Source organism: Homo sapiens, chromosome 7 (assembly GCF_000001405.40).
Source record: "Homo sapiens chromosome 7, GRCh38.p14 Primary Assembly".
NCBI classification, from domain to species: domain Eukaryota; kingdom Metazoa; phylum Chordata; class Mammalia; order Primates; family Hominidae; genus Homo; species Homo sapiens.
Genome location: NC_000007.14, coordinates 151,469,130 through 151,483,878, shown reverse-complemented (window position 1 = coordinate 151,483,878; position 14,749 = coordinate 151,469,130). Strand labels below are relative to the sequence as shown.

Genomic DNA, 14,749 nt, shown 5'->3' with positions numbered 1-14,749 from the left:
AAAGAAAAGCCCTTTTGACAGCTTAGCTGCCCCATTACCATGACATCCAGGCCTGCTTTTACTAGAAACTATTCTGTAAGACTGAATTTACCCTTCTTCACTGGAGGGTGAGGAATGTAAAGAAGCTGGGATTTCAGCTCCTAACTCCTGCCCTTGCAACATTTTTTTGAGACAGAGTCTTGCTCTGTCACCCAGGCTGGAAGGCAGTGGTGCTATCCCACTACAACCTGTGCCTCCTGAGTTAAAGCAATTCTCCTGGCACAGCCTCCCAAGTAGCCGGGATTACAGGCACACCACCACACCCGGCTAATTTTGTATTTTTAGTAGAGGCGGGGTTTCGCCATATTGGCCTGGCTGGTCTTGAACTCCTGACCTCAGGTGATTCACCTGCCTCGGCCTCTGAAAGTGCTAGGATGACAGGCATGAGCCACCATGCCTGGCCCGCCCTTGCAACTTATAATCAAAGGATAAGAGTAGCAGGAGGGTGAGTGTAGTGTGATCTGGTTTGCTGTGTTAAATGGGGGCTATTTTTCTGGAATCTGGGGAAATTGGAGTAGACCCAGAATAATATGACCTGTCCTGTGGGTTTGGAATGAATTCCCTCTGCTTTGCATTTTGAAGTAAACATAGAAGGAAAGTGTGATGCCTTAGTGAAGCAAGAAGATAGCTGTATTGAGTGATGTTAGCATTGGAGGAACCCTGAGGTTTCCATTTTGGAAGCTTGGAAGAAAATAAATGTGTTTGGCTCTTTGAGCTTGTACACAGAGCTATAGCATGTGCCTCCTTCACTCACCCTACACACTCCCTGCTGGTGGTGATGCAGTGTGCTTTAGCAGTCAGATTCTTGATGCTTTCATTAGAGCAGAGCCATCCTAGGCTTTCACCCCCTGATACCTGTCCTCTTGACAGAAGAATAGGAGTTGGGGCTTATATGGACCAGGGGAGCAGTAGAAGTCTCTGTTAGGGGGTCGGGGGCATGGCACAGATGACGAGGCTCATTAGAAATTAGTAGGGAAGGGAAGAGCCGCTTGAGTAGGAAATTGTTTTGGATTGTTGGGTTTTGTATCTTTCTTTTATAGTTGACTATATAATTTATTGCCTAAACCAAGACACTTTCAGAGTTGTGGGCTGGGGGTGCTAATAATAATTATGTTGGGACAACAGTGTAACTTAGAATGTCCTGGGCAAAGAAATACAGCTGTTCTGTTTATTGTGGGACTCTGACACTATCAAGACTTCAGTTTGCTTTTGTATCCTTATTTGGAATCTCCTTTAAGCTCCTGAAAACTGGTGATGAGAATGTAAATTGATAAATCACTTTCATGTAATGTTACTGTGGAAACACGTTTTGTATCAGGCAATTCAGGGAACCAGTATTTCATAACTGTTTGGAGTGTGGGCCCTGGGGTTACACTTGCCTGGATTTGAATCTTGGTTTTTGTTGCTAACCCAGTAACCTTAAGGAAGCGAATGAGGGCTGGGCATGGTGGCTCATGCCCTTAATCCCAACACTGTGGGAGGTGGAAGGATCACTTGAGCCCAGGAGTTTGAGGTTGCAGTGAGCTGTGATAGCACCACTGCAGTCCAGCCTGGGCAACACAGCGAGATCCCATCTCTTTACATAAAAGGGTGAAGAAGTCTTTCTGTGCCTCAGAGCTTTATCTATAAATAGTGATAACTGGCATTGTTGCAGGATTGTCACATTGGGGTTAAAGAGGCTGTGCTCTTTCTTTGTAGACCTTCAATGCTGCTGAGGCAAGTGTGACGCCAGCATATTAACTGTGTTGACAGGCTGCATGGTGGAAGTGCACATGTTCTTAATACTTGGAGAGCTGTCTTTGAAAAGATTTCTCTAAAGAATAAATTTCTTTATACTGACTACTTATCAAGTTGGAATATGTGTTCCTCTGGGGTACTGTTTTGCCCTGGAACATAAATGTACACTCAGGTATCAAACAATTTAAAATATTTTAGTGATGTAGTAATACAAATAGTGAAACCAAAAGCACCAGTGTTTAGGAAGAGTATATGATATGAGATAAGACAAGAGCAGTGGTCATATTAGCAGCCCTGTTGTCTTGCCCCTTCGGGTTATATTACAACTGGGTAAGAGTATTTGGAGAATTTTTGCACAAAATATATCCAAATTTGGCTACTTTAAATTATTTGTAGTCATTGCAACTAGTAGTTCTTGAAGGTTATATTTACAGTTGAGAGACAATAAATTAAAGATGTGCTCTTTATTTACAGCTCAGGATGGTGGCACACAGGCATGTCCTGCCGTGGTTTCACCCTTCATTCTGTTGAAAACTGGATGATAACAAACTCAGGTGTTTACTGCTCCAAGAGCTGCTTTATAAATTGGATGCATACGGGGGCTGGTTCTAGGATTAAGACTGGTAGTAGTAGGGTAAAATGATTAAGGGGCAAATTCTTTTAAAAGTAATCTATAGTAAATTTGTTCACTGGCTTCCACATTTCAGGAGTGAAATTGCACGCAGTGAATTGCTGCATAGCGGTATTTGTTAGCAAGTTCTATTTACTACTTAGTAGTTTATGTCGGTACATCCATACCACTATGGTTTAATAGTGGTTTAATTGCCCACCTAGGAATGATGATGAACATGGTTAAATACAGATTATTTTTAGATTGCATGAAATATTTTGGTTTTGCCCAATTTTAGGGTGAGAACATATACCCTAAATGAATTTTGGGGTAAGAATGTGAAGTATCAAAAAAAAAAAAAAGTAGCCTCTTCTATATTAACCTATTTATGCCTGGTGTTACATTATTGGAACGTTAAGCTTGTGGGAGTTATTTATATCCTACTGCTCAAGGTCACCAAGGTCTGATTTTTCATGAAAAAAAAAATTTTGCAACCTCCGGCATAAATGGGTTAATAACTTAGATTCACACCTGTAATCCCCGCACTTTGGGAGGCCAAGGCGGGTGGATCACTTTAGGTCAGGATTTTGAAACCAGCCTGACCAACATGGTGAAACTCTGTCTCTACTAAAACTACAAAATTAGCCAGACATGGTGGTACATGCCTATAATCCCAGCTACTTGGGAGGCCGAGGCAGGAGAATTGCTTGAACCCAGGAGGCGGAGGTTGTAGTAACCCAAGATTGCACCATTGCCCTCTAGCCTGGGCAACAAGAGTGAAACTCTGTCTCAAAAAAAAAAAATAATAATTAATAATAATTAAAATTGATTCAATGACAATCCATCTTATAATGTAACCAAATTTGCTTTTTTGAAAATTGAGTTTAATTTTTAAAAAATAGGTGTAATGCGCATGGTACAAAAATAAATAGTGCCAAAAGGTGTAAATAGTAAAACTTAAGACGTTCCTACCCTAGCTATCTAACCCCCCACCCCCACCAGCAACCACATTTACCAGTTTCTAGTATATGCCTCTAGGATACTTGATACATGAATATGCAAATATAGTTTTAAGCTTGGGTTTTGTTTTGTTTTTTTTCCTTTTTACACAAAAAGTAATACATCTCCCTCTTGGAGATTATTCCATATCAATACCTATGGCCTCCTTTTCCCCCAAGGCTGCGTAATATCCAGTTGTTGGGATATATATCCTAAGTTAACTGCTGATCAACAGTTAGACTGTTGCTGGTCTTGCTACCATCAGCAGTCCCTTAATGAACATCCCGGACGTTGTTTTAGACATAGGGTAATAATGCACATAGGAAAACTTCCTGGATGTGGGCTATCATAGGGTTACAGTTCATGTTCTTGCCAGCAGTGAATGAGAGTGTCTATTTCCCTACACCCTCACCAGCACTATGTGTTAGCAAACGTTTTGGTACTTACCAATCTGATAGGTGAGAAAAAGCAGTGTACTTTTAAAAATGCAGTGTACTTTTAATAATGCACTTTTCTTCTTAGGAGGGGCTTTGATTTTTCCTATGTTAGAAGATGTTTGTATTTTTCCCCCTATGAATTATCCTGTCTGTGTACTTGGCCATTTTTTTTCTATTGGGTGGTTGGTCTTTGCGTGTTGATGTGAGATTCCCCTTGATATGTGAAGAAAATTAGCGTTTTGTATATGATCTGAGATGCACAGTTTTGTTTTCAGTTTGTCTTTTATTTATGGTTTTTATTTGAGGGGTTTGCAGCCATGAAGAACTTTTTCACATAGTTGAATTTATTTATTAATCTTTTTTTTTTTTTTTTTGAGACGGAGTCTCGCTCTATCGCCCAGGCTGGAGTGCTGTGGCGCGATCTCGGCTCACTGCAAGCTCCGCCACCCAGGTTCACACCATTCTCCTGCCTCAGCCTCCTGAGTAGCTGGGACTACAGGCGCCCGCCACCACGCCCAGCTAGTTTTTTTGTATTTTGAGTGGAGACGGGGTTTCACTGTGTTAGCCAGGATGATATGAATCTCCTGACCTTGTGATCTGCCCACCTTGGCCTCCCAAAGTGCTGGGATTACAGACGTGAGCCATTGTGCCCGGCCTTATTAATCTTTTTTTAACTGATAATGTATTTTAAGCTCTCCCATCTATCATACGCATCGTTTTCATCTTTAAATCTTTGCTTCCTCTGGAATATGTTTTTGCCAAAGTGTGAATTGGAGTTCCAGCTTAGCCATTCATCCTCAGGTGGCTCTGGGCTTGTCCCTACACTCAGTTGAGGGTTACTTTTGGTCCTCACTGATTGAAATGCCAATATTATCATGTACCTCATTCTCATATCTGTCAGGTCTTTCTGGATTTTTCAGTCTGTTCTGTTTGTGAGCCAGTACAGTATTACTTATGAGAGCTTTATGATTTCTACTCAGCTGCCCTCCCAATTGCTATTATATTGTTATATTGCTATTATTCTTTCTCAGAAAGTAGACTTTAAAGGCCGGGCACAGTAGCTCCTGCCACTGCACTCCAGGCTGGGTGACAGAATGAGACTGTCTCAAAAAAAAAAAATCAGACTGGGTGCAGTGGCTCACACGTGTAATCCCAGCACTTTGGGAGGCCAAGGCAAGCGGATCACCTGAGGTCAGGGGTTCGAGACCAGCCTGGCCAACGTGGTAAAATCCTGTCTCTACTGCAAATGCAAAAATGAACCAGGTGTGGTGGTGTAGCCTGTAGTCCCAGCTACTCAGGAGGCTGAGGCAGGAGAATCGCTTGAACCTGAGAGGTGGAGGTTGCAGTGAGCTGAGATAGTGCCATTGCATTCCAGCCTGGGCAACAAGAGGGAAACTACGTCTCAAAAAAAAAAATCAGAATTATATCAGCTGGGGGCTCTTTCCTCCATTATACCTTCTAACTGGTAGTTTTTTACTCAGTGCTTCTTAGACATAACTTCTTTTTTCTATGTTTCCACAGTTTCCCTTTAGGGAAAACAGAATTTTAACTTTGAACCTACTCTAGCTGAGCTAGTGATTAAAATCATTTGGGATTTTGTTTTTAATCTTATTTATTATATCAAAGAATTTATAATAAAACTTAATTTTTCTTTTCTTTTTTTTTTTTTCTTTAAAGAACTTTACCATAGGGCAGTAATTCTGGGCTGTCATAAACAGTGGTTATAACCATACTATAAGTTTACAAAAATAATAGACTGCTGCTTAATCTTCTGGTACCATGATGTGATTTTTCCATAATAGTGCTTAGGACATGTGTTATGTTGACAATTTAGTTTCAACTAAGAATGAAACGTTCGTACCAGACAGTGGCGCGTGCTGTTGAAAACTGCACTGACATCAGAACTTTCTGTATGCTTTAATACGTATATAAAGCAAAGTGTCATAACGCTGCTTTATAAAACTAAAGACTACTGTGCTGTTGCGTAATAGGTACCTTTCTCTTTAATTCCTAGAGTTGCTCAGTAAATAACTCTCTTGGTCCCCAAAAGTCTGAATACCTCAATTGAACCTGGTGTTTTGATCCTCTTTTCTCTTTCTCTGTTTCTCTCTCTCTCCCCCACCTCCCTCCCTCTCTCCCTCTCTCCTTCAGATGCTGATGGCACCCCTCTAGCAACCTGTAGACTGAAGCTCAGGTCATTGTGACTGACATGCAGAGAATAAATCAAATAATATGCCAGTTTCAAATATAAAAATACAGATTTATGGGATAAATCAGCAGGATTTATAAATGTCCTGAGGTCTAGAAGGTTCTGGAGTTAGTGATGCTCATCCCTTGTTTTGAGATCACAGAGCCAATGATTTTTGTGTTCCATCCATCCTCTTCTCCCAGAAATTATGAAGGTCATCAGACTTTCCCCTAAAGTTCTAGAACAGCTAGTCATTTTTAAATATTGGCTTGAACCACATTATCACCTCCAGGCCATTCTTAAAGCTTCACTTTGTAGGCTGTTTCTGGCATAATATTGTAATCCACTCTGCGTCTACTTTGATTTCTTCAGGTAATACATGAAAAACTTTGGGTAAAGTTTGTTTGTGATGCTATATGAAGACTACTCAAAGATAATTTTTTTTCCCCACAGGATGAATATTCTATCTTTCCTCAGACATACTCCATAGATATTAATGGCTATATTCTTGTGTATTCTGTTACATCAATCAAAAGGTAAGACTCCTGCTGCCTGCTTGAGTTGATTTGCTACTCATAGATAACATTGATCCTTTTAAGGGACTGTGCTGGAATTATTAATAGTGACAATTAGAATTATTAGGCTACATGTTTTTTAGTGATTTTCTCGTGGAGCAACTGGATTGCTGGGAAACATGGCCCACTAGATGTTCTGTTAGTTACACCAATAGGATAAAAGGCTCTTTCTTACCTCAAGCTACCTAGAAAAACAGTGGTTCAGCATGATCTAAGCTTTTCTGCTAATTGAAATGGGAAATGCCTAAATTAATTTTACTTTGTGTGTGTTTTTACCATATTAAGGTGAAATAGACTTTCTAATAAAATGTGGGGGTTTGGGTTTGTTCAATATCTTATCCTTTGAATTTATGAAATAAGACCTTTTGGTAATAGAGTCTGACTTTACTACATAAAAACAAAGCCACTATTTTTATTAATAAGAATGGATATCGGTTCCTCTAGCTACGTATTTCATGTCTCCTCTTATCGGGGGATGGCATGTATTATCAGGAGGAGCAGTGGTCTGTGTCTGTTAACAGAACAGCTGGCTGTATACAGCAGCGGAGCTCTGGGCATTGGTGACAGCTTATGTTTGAAGACTTTATGAAAATATCAGTGCCAGTGGAGGGCGTTTGGTGGCTACGTAGCATCTATTGAGTGTGTGCGACATGTTAGGGAGTTTGCTACTCTCTTTGCCTACATATGATACATTACTTATTTCATCATTACCTTAATCCTTCATCAGAGATGTTTTATATCCCACTTTACGTGGAAAGAAACTGAGTGACAGAGACCTAAAGCAGCTTGCCCAGGGCTACATAATGACATTGCTGGGATTCATAGCCATCTCTCCAGTTCCACAGTCAAGGCTGACACTGTCCAATAGAACTTACTGCGGTGATAGAAGTGTTTGCTCTCTGTGCTGCAGGTGGCTGTTTAACTAAAAATGGAAAATTAAGCCTCCCTCGGTTACAGTAGCCCCATTTCAGGTGCTCAGTAGCCACATGTGGCTGGAGGCTGCCATGTTGGCCAGTGTCTGGGTTCCTTACCCCCACATACTCCACTGCCAGTGAAAATTCAGTCTGCTGCTCTGTGAGTGTGTTGTTTAACATTTTTCTCCGTGGCAGAGAAACATACTTTAGGGTGTTGAGTTCTAGCTATAAAATGTTTGAGTACCATTCTCGGCCATTCTTATAAACAGACCCCATACTGTCAATCCCCGAGAAAGTTTACACCTGAATCAAAACCAAGTACCAGAATTATGTGTTCCTTAAGGAAAATTGAGGAACTGTGAAAAATAGAAAGTGAGGGTAATCATTCTTAATCTAATTACCTAAGCATAGATACTGTTAATATCTTGGTATATGTTTTTTCTGGTCTTTGTTTTAGTCTGCATGGATTGTTTTAACATCCTTTTATTTGCTCTCTGAATGCTGTTTTATGGTTTATATTTTCCATGTTTTTATATTTTTACTTACCATGTAATATATATTTTTCCATATTACCTAGTATTTGAAATAGTAAATGGCTTTATAATATTTCATGTTCAATGATAGATGGATATCTCTCTTCCTGTTTAATGTATTTATTTATATTGTCACTGAAAGCAATGCTTGGATTGGATTTTATGCTTAAAACCACTGTGTACTTAGTATTTGGAAACATGATCATTTTCTTACTGACTTATAAGAGCACTTTAAATAGTAAAACTATTGGCCATTTTTATACAAAGATTTTTTTAATTTCAGTTGTATATTTTTAAAATGTATATACTGCCACGTGTAAGGCCTTGTCCAGAACAAATTTAGTGTACCAATAATCTAATGAATGTTGGAAGTTCATGTTTGTTTATGAATTTCCATTATTTTACTAATTTACTTGAAAAACATGATTCAAAGATTGTTTTGTTGTTGGTAAGTACAATTTTATCCTAGCTGATTTTTAGAAAACAGTGTTGGTGTTACTTTACAAATTGTTACTTTGAGGCATTAAAGTAGTAGGTAGAAAATTTTCTTAGTGCATCCACTGATTTTTTTTAAGTCTCTTTTTTGGTGTGCACAAATTAGATGACATTATAGAATCAAGTTGAAAACATAGCATGTGCCACTGGGGAAATTGAAAAATACATTGAGCTGGATTAAAAATATGAAAGTGTGCTCACCAAGGACCTTATGTATTTGAGAAAACACTGGCCTAGTGCAAAGCAGAGGACAAAAAGCTTGGTACTGTGTCTTCTCAGTGGCACTGTTGCAAGTTTTGACCAAGTTTCTCCTTACTAAAATGGGTGTGTTTTCTTTTGTTATATGCCTTTTACCTCAGTAACTCATAGTTTAATGAGCATTCTCAAATCTCAAACATGAGTGTGAGAAGAGTGGTGTTTTGTTTTTTAGAAACCTATATGCTGAATACACAAATATTTATGAATATACAAGAAATATGTCAGTAAAACTTTCTGAATCAACCAGTTTGTTGATCAGAATTGTCTAATCCTTTTTATTGAATTTAACCTCTATCTAAATAATAACCATTTTCATTGTTTGTGAAATAAAACAGAAGTCTCACATTATTCCTTTATATCATAAAACCCCTGTAGAATTGCTCTTTCTGAGTAAATAAAGCGAAAATACATCCTATTTCATAATTTCTAGAAATGGAAAAAAGAAACCTGCAGTTGAGAGATGTGAGATTTGGGTTTTCATTTATCCCCACTAACAACTTTGGACAAGTTACTTCACCGTACCTTTGTCGCCTGTAAATTGGGTATATTGATATAGGAGTAGATCTCTCCTATCTGAGGCAGCCGGGTTACTTACTTTAAAACATTAGTTAAGGGCCAGGCGCAGTGGCCCACACCTGTAATCCCAATACTTTGGGAGGCCGAAGTGGGCAGATCATTTGAGGTCAGGAGTTCGAGACCAGCCTGGCCAACATGGTGAAACCTCATCTCTACTAAAAATACAAAAATTACCCGGGTGTGGTGGCGGGTGCCTGTAATCCCAGCTGCTCGGGAGGCTGAGGCAGGAGAATCTCTTGAACCTGGGAGGCGGAGACTGTATCATGAGCTGAAATCATGCCATTGCACTTCAGCCTGAGCGACAAAGCAAGGCTGTGTCTCAAAAAAAAAACAAAAAAACAACACTGGTTAAAGGGAAAAAAAATCGGAAAGGTGATGTCAATCTCCAGTGTTTTGTTTTAAAGCATAAATATACATTCAGTCACTCATCTTGTGAAATTTTCAAATTGTCATCTTTGAATATGAGTTCACCCACTGCTGTTCAGTATGACTACATCCACGATTTGTCCATTATGACTTCTGGTTCGGTTTCTTCCGAGTGAGATGCTTGGGAAACAGTCTACACCTCAACTATTTAGATTGCTGTGATTTTCCCCACCAGTCTTTTTCAGTTGGTTTGGCACACCTTATTAAGGAGCACCGTTTTTAGTAGATCAACTCACAGTATTCAACTTCTAGTTTTCAGACAAACAAAACTCTGTCTACACATACTTCAAAAGTTTGCAACATAAATTATGACTATGATGAATTTAACTGGCATAAGTGGGTTTGGGAACAAATGGGGCTGTTTTAAATAATGCCTTTTTTTTCTAGTAGCTCGTAGTTTAATCAGCATTCTCAAATTTGAGACATGAGGGAGTATGAGAAGAGTGGTGTTTTGTTTTTTAGAAATCTGTATGCTGAATACACAAATATTTATGAATATCCAAGAAATACGTCAGTAAAACTTTCCGAATCAACCAGTTTGATTCAGAAAATCAGTGATCTCAAGAAATTTAGCCACTTAGAACAGTACACATTTATGATCTCACAGTTTTTGTGGGTCAGGAATCTGGGTGTGGCCTAGCTGTGTCCTCTGCTTCAGTCTCTCAGAGCCACAGTGTGGGTATCAGCAGGGGCTGCAGTCCCATCTGAAGGCTTGCCTGGGGGAAGATGTTTCCCAGCGTGTTCACGTGGCTCTTGACAGGGTTGAGTTTCTTGCAAGTTGTTGGACTGAGCTTCTTAGTTCCTTGCTGGCCGCTGGCCTGAGGCTGCCCTCTGCTCCTTGCCAGGTGCTTCACTTCATTGGGGCAGGTGCACAAGAGAGCCAGGGAATTTCCTGCATGACAAGCCACTGTCTTTTATAACCTAACCGCAAAAGGGACATTCCATCACCTTTGCCATATTCTGTTCATTAGACGCACGTCACTAGGTCCATGCAGGGAGATGACACACAGTGTGGCCACTAGGAGAGCAGGAGATCTGGGAGCCGGCTCCAAGCTGCCTGCCACACAGTCCTAGTTCTTTCAGCTGTTTCTCACGTGACAGGGTACTGTATTTTTGCCCAAGTGGCGACACTTTTAAAGATAGGCAAATACAGCATGCGGAGGAAACCGTGGTTCTGTAATGCAACCGCAGGTCCTTAGGACACCCATATCCCATTTGTTGACCCACAGCGAGCTTGTAGGGGGGTTAAATTTCATTTTTGTTTTTATCAAATGACAGCACACATCGTTTAAAATAGCACAGTGTGTAATTCATTCAACAAGCTAACTTATTCTGAAGCTTGTGATGCAATCATGAACAAAGCAGACAAATCCCTGCCCTTGCGGACCTATTATTTCTGGTGTGGGAGACAAACAGTAAAACGACACACATGCGAGATAGGATGTCTGTGACCATGCTGCCAAGAAAAATAAAGTACGGAAGGGGTAAGAAATGGAAAGGAAATTTGTCATTTAGGGTAAACAGAAGAGGTGTAAGAAGTGACATTTGAGGCTGGGTGTGGTGGCTCACGCCTGTAATCCCAGCACTTTGGGAGGCCGAGGCAGGCGGATCACGAGGTCAGAAGTTTGCGGCTTGAGAGTCACTGGGGCCGAGTAAAGATGGCCACCCATCAGAGGATGTTGAACCAGGCACCGTCCATCTGCTGCAGCAGAGTCCTCTGGTTGCTGTGCTGAGCAGGGGTGGCGGGGAAGGGTTGGGGCTGTGGAACTGATGCAGGCAGACTTGGGCCAGGAATTCACACCTCAGCGGCAGCAGTGGAGGGGAGTGAGAAGCCGTCAGATTCTAGGTAGGATTTGAAAGTAGAGCCAGTGATGTGCTGGCAGATGTTTGCATGGGTTTTTTGGGGGAGGGTGGAAAATGATTTGTGGCCATTTGCCAGCAGTCAGTGGTATAAATAATCCTGCTGTGGCAGATTTCAAGTGATCATTATGACATCTCAGATCCCCTTCCCGGTGAGAGCCACCTCCATCCTAGAGTCATCGGCTCATTGATCTGATTGAAAGCCAAGAGATACTGGCATCACCCAGAGAATGTATGTACCTAGGAAAGAACACAGGAGCAGGCTGAATGTACTAGGGCACTCTAGGAAAAGCTGTTCAAGTTGTAATGTAAACAGTTGGTTCTTTGCTGAATGAGTTGGGTGATTAAAATTTGCATTTATGTGGTTTCTCAGCCCAGTGGTAGGCTTTCCGTTTGAATGCCTTACCTGTTTCACTTTGAATATCCTCAGTCAGGGTTGCTGAGTGTCAGATGTATGCACATGTGAATGGATTGCTAGGAAAAAACAGGAGTTCTTTGTGTTCATTTTATGTTATGTTAAAATGGTGAGTCTGTGACATTTTACATTTTTCCAGCTGGCAACATAACATACATTTAAAAACTTCAACATTAAAATGGATGTCTAATTTATACTTTTTGTTTTATAGTTTTGAAGTGATTAAAGTTATCCATGGCAAATTGTTGGATATGGTGGGGAAAGTACAGTAAGTAGTACCATTTTATCTGCTTGTTAGAGAAACTTCTTTTAATAGTATCTTCTGAGCAATACAATCTGGCACTTACTGGTTTGTCTTTTTTTTCTTACAAATAGAATACCTATTATGTTGGTTGGGAATAAGAAAGACCTGCATATGGAAAGGTATGTAGCTTTTATAAAGTCAAATCTAAGATGATTTAGTCACTGAAGTATCATTTTAATTATTGTTCTGATGTCAAGAATATTTTTAGCTGTAGCATTTTTATCCGTTCAGAGGTGTTATGGTCGTGTGCAGCAGAAGCAAAAGTGGAATAGAAATCTCACATTCCTCTAGAAAAGAGAGAGCAAACTTTATAGGAAACTACCTTTAGGTTATCTGCCACTTTGCATAAAGCAAATTCTAAAAAGACATAGTGCTCATTTATGCAGCAAGTGGTTTTTGAGTACCAGGGTTTGGGATTACAGTGAGGAGCAAAGGAGGCAGATGTCCCCTGCCCAGGCAGCTTCATGTCAGAGAGGAAGAGACTCTACAGCCTGCATGCAAGAGAATTGAGCTTTCAGGCTCTTTCACAATTTCCCCTGGCCTTGGGTGCTTACAACCTAGCTGTAAAATAGTCAATTGTTACAGATACGGGAGTACTGGAAAATAAGATCATGTTCTCTGAGCTGGAAGGTTTGCTGGAGCATGGATAATCCCATAAAGCAATGTCTATTCTGTTCCCCAGCTCAGGCGTAATTAAAACACTCCTGTGTTACATTCTTGATGCTAATGTTAGGCCAGGGCATGGTTCTGCTTCATGAGAAAGAAATTGACCAAAATGGAGCCTGTTTCATAAATCAATTATACATGTTTTATATAATGAAGAGCAAAGTACTTTAACTAGAATTTTATTTTTTCTTTAGGGTGATCAGTTATGAAGAAGGGAAAGCTTTGGCAGAATCTTGGAATGCAGCTTTTTTGGAATCTTCTGCTAAAGAAAATCAGGTAACAGATTCTATAAACCTCATTTTGCATTGCGTTCTCATCAGTCGCAGGGATGTGTTCCTTGCAGTTGGCATTTGACCTCTGTCTTGATCACTCCTGTGTAACATCTGGCCTTCCTCCATTTCTAATACCAAGTTTTGTGTTGCTTTAGGAAGATACTACTTAGGTGTTTATAAATTCAGTCAGTATTCTACTTACAGTGGAACCTAGGATATTTGTAGGATAAACAGAAACTATTAGTAAAGGAAATACTACCTTTTGTAAACATATATTTTTGGTTTGTATTAATAGCTGGTACAGAAATAAGTCCATACAGGGGAAAAAAAAAGAATTATATCACTTTAGTACTAATTTTGTAACTACCCACCCCCTGGCTTTTTTTCTGTTAGATGAAACCGGGTCAGACGTACGTGTTAATTGTTAACATAGAAATGATGAAGAACCATCTTATAAGCATTTAGTACCAATTTCACCCCGCAGATGTGCCTTCAAAGGCATGTTCTGGGAAGGATGTAGATTCTGCCTCCGGAGGCTTCACAGTCCTGTATGAGCCCTTCTCTTCCATTGCTCTAATTTAGACCCCCGGCACCAAGCTTGTCTCCCGCCCCCAGTGCATTTTTCACCTATACATTTTTTTTGCTGCCCTTAATTTTCTAAAGATACACATCTGATGGTATCATCCTCTACTCAGAAACTGTCAGTGAACTGCCCCTTCTCTATAGAACCCTTCGCCTGGTCCTGAATGCAGTCAATAATTTGTTCTTTTCTAGTTTCTTCTCTCACCACGTTCTTGTACTTTCCATCACATCAAACTGCTCCCTTCCTTAAACACACCATCTCCTGTCCACCCCACTTTCAAAATGTCTCACCTTTCCTCATGCTCCCCTCCGGTTTAAAATAGCCCTTCTCTAAGTATCTACTTAGGTTCATGTGGGGTTTTATATTTTGAATGTGTTTTCAACATGTGGTGGTGTTTGATCCTCAGGTAAGATGACTTGGTTTTCATTTCTCTGAGGAAACTCTAGTATAGTAGGGTGGTGCCTCCTCCCTGGGAGGGCCGGGCGCCAGCAGCCTTGGCACTCTTCCTTCCCTGCCCCGCCCCTCTCCGCAGCACGGAGGTTTGTAGTCCTCAAGGCCCCACCTAGATTTCACCTTCTTGTTGACCCCCTCTGGATCCATCCAGCTGAAAGAAATTGTGGTTTCTTCTCTTAGCCCTCTTAATTTGTTCTGAGATCTGAGTCAGTATCATTTATATAAATATCCTTCATAATGTTTAGCACAGTGGGTTATCCGTCAGCCCAAGTATCCTGTGATAGTCAAATTGGCTTTGTCCTGTGTTGGGATATGGAGGGATAGTGAATCCATGTGGTTATGTCCTCTTATGTGCGGATGAAAAAAACTGATTAAACAGATGTGTGTAATTCGTTCCCAAGTTCCAGAT

At 40.4% G+C, this 14,749-nt stretch overlaps 1 protein-coding gene across 4 annotated transcripts in view, besides 3 other annotated features; it reads left to right on the top strand.

Annotated features, from left to right (window-relative positions):
• Positions 1-14,749, top strand: part of RHEB (Ras homolog, mTORC1 binding) — a 53,884-nt gene that overhangs the window by 36,017 nt on the left and 3,118 nt on the right. For all 4 annotated transcript variants that reach the window (NM_005614.4, XM_011516457.3, XM_024446854.2 and 1 more), the window contains 4 exons: positions 6,464-6,546; positions 12,274-12,330; positions 12,438-12,485; positions 13,227-13,308. In NM_005614.4, the coding sequence (NP_005605.1) occupies positions 6,464-6,546; positions 12,274-12,330; positions 12,438-12,485; positions 13,227-13,308 (270 nt within the window). The remainder of the gene's footprint in view (positions 1-6,463; positions 6,547-12,273; positions 12,331-12,437; positions 12,486-13,226; positions 13,309-14,749) is intronic.
• Positions 10,554-10,813: an enhancer, noted in NCBI's record as "active region_26865". NCBI's record gives its function as "activates an Ori minimal core promoter by ATAC-STARR-seq in GM12878 lymphoblastoid cells {active_cell/tissue: GM12878}" and the evidence as "EXISTENCE:reporter gene assay evidence [ECO:0000049][PMID:35858748]".
• Positions 12,034-12,083: a silencer, noted in NCBI's record as "silent region_18816". NCBI's record gives its function as "represses an Ori minimal core promoter by ATAC-STARR-seq in GM12878 lymphoblastoid cells {active_cell/tissue: GM12878}" and the evidence as "EXISTENCE:reporter gene assay evidence [ECO:0000049][PMID:35858748]".
• Positions 14,003-14,082: an enhancer, noted in NCBI's record as "active region_26864". NCBI's record gives its function as "activates an Ori minimal core promoter by ATAC-STARR-seq in GM12878 lymphoblastoid cells {active_cell/tissue: GM12878}" and the evidence as "EXISTENCE:reporter gene assay evidence [ECO:0000049][PMID:35858748]".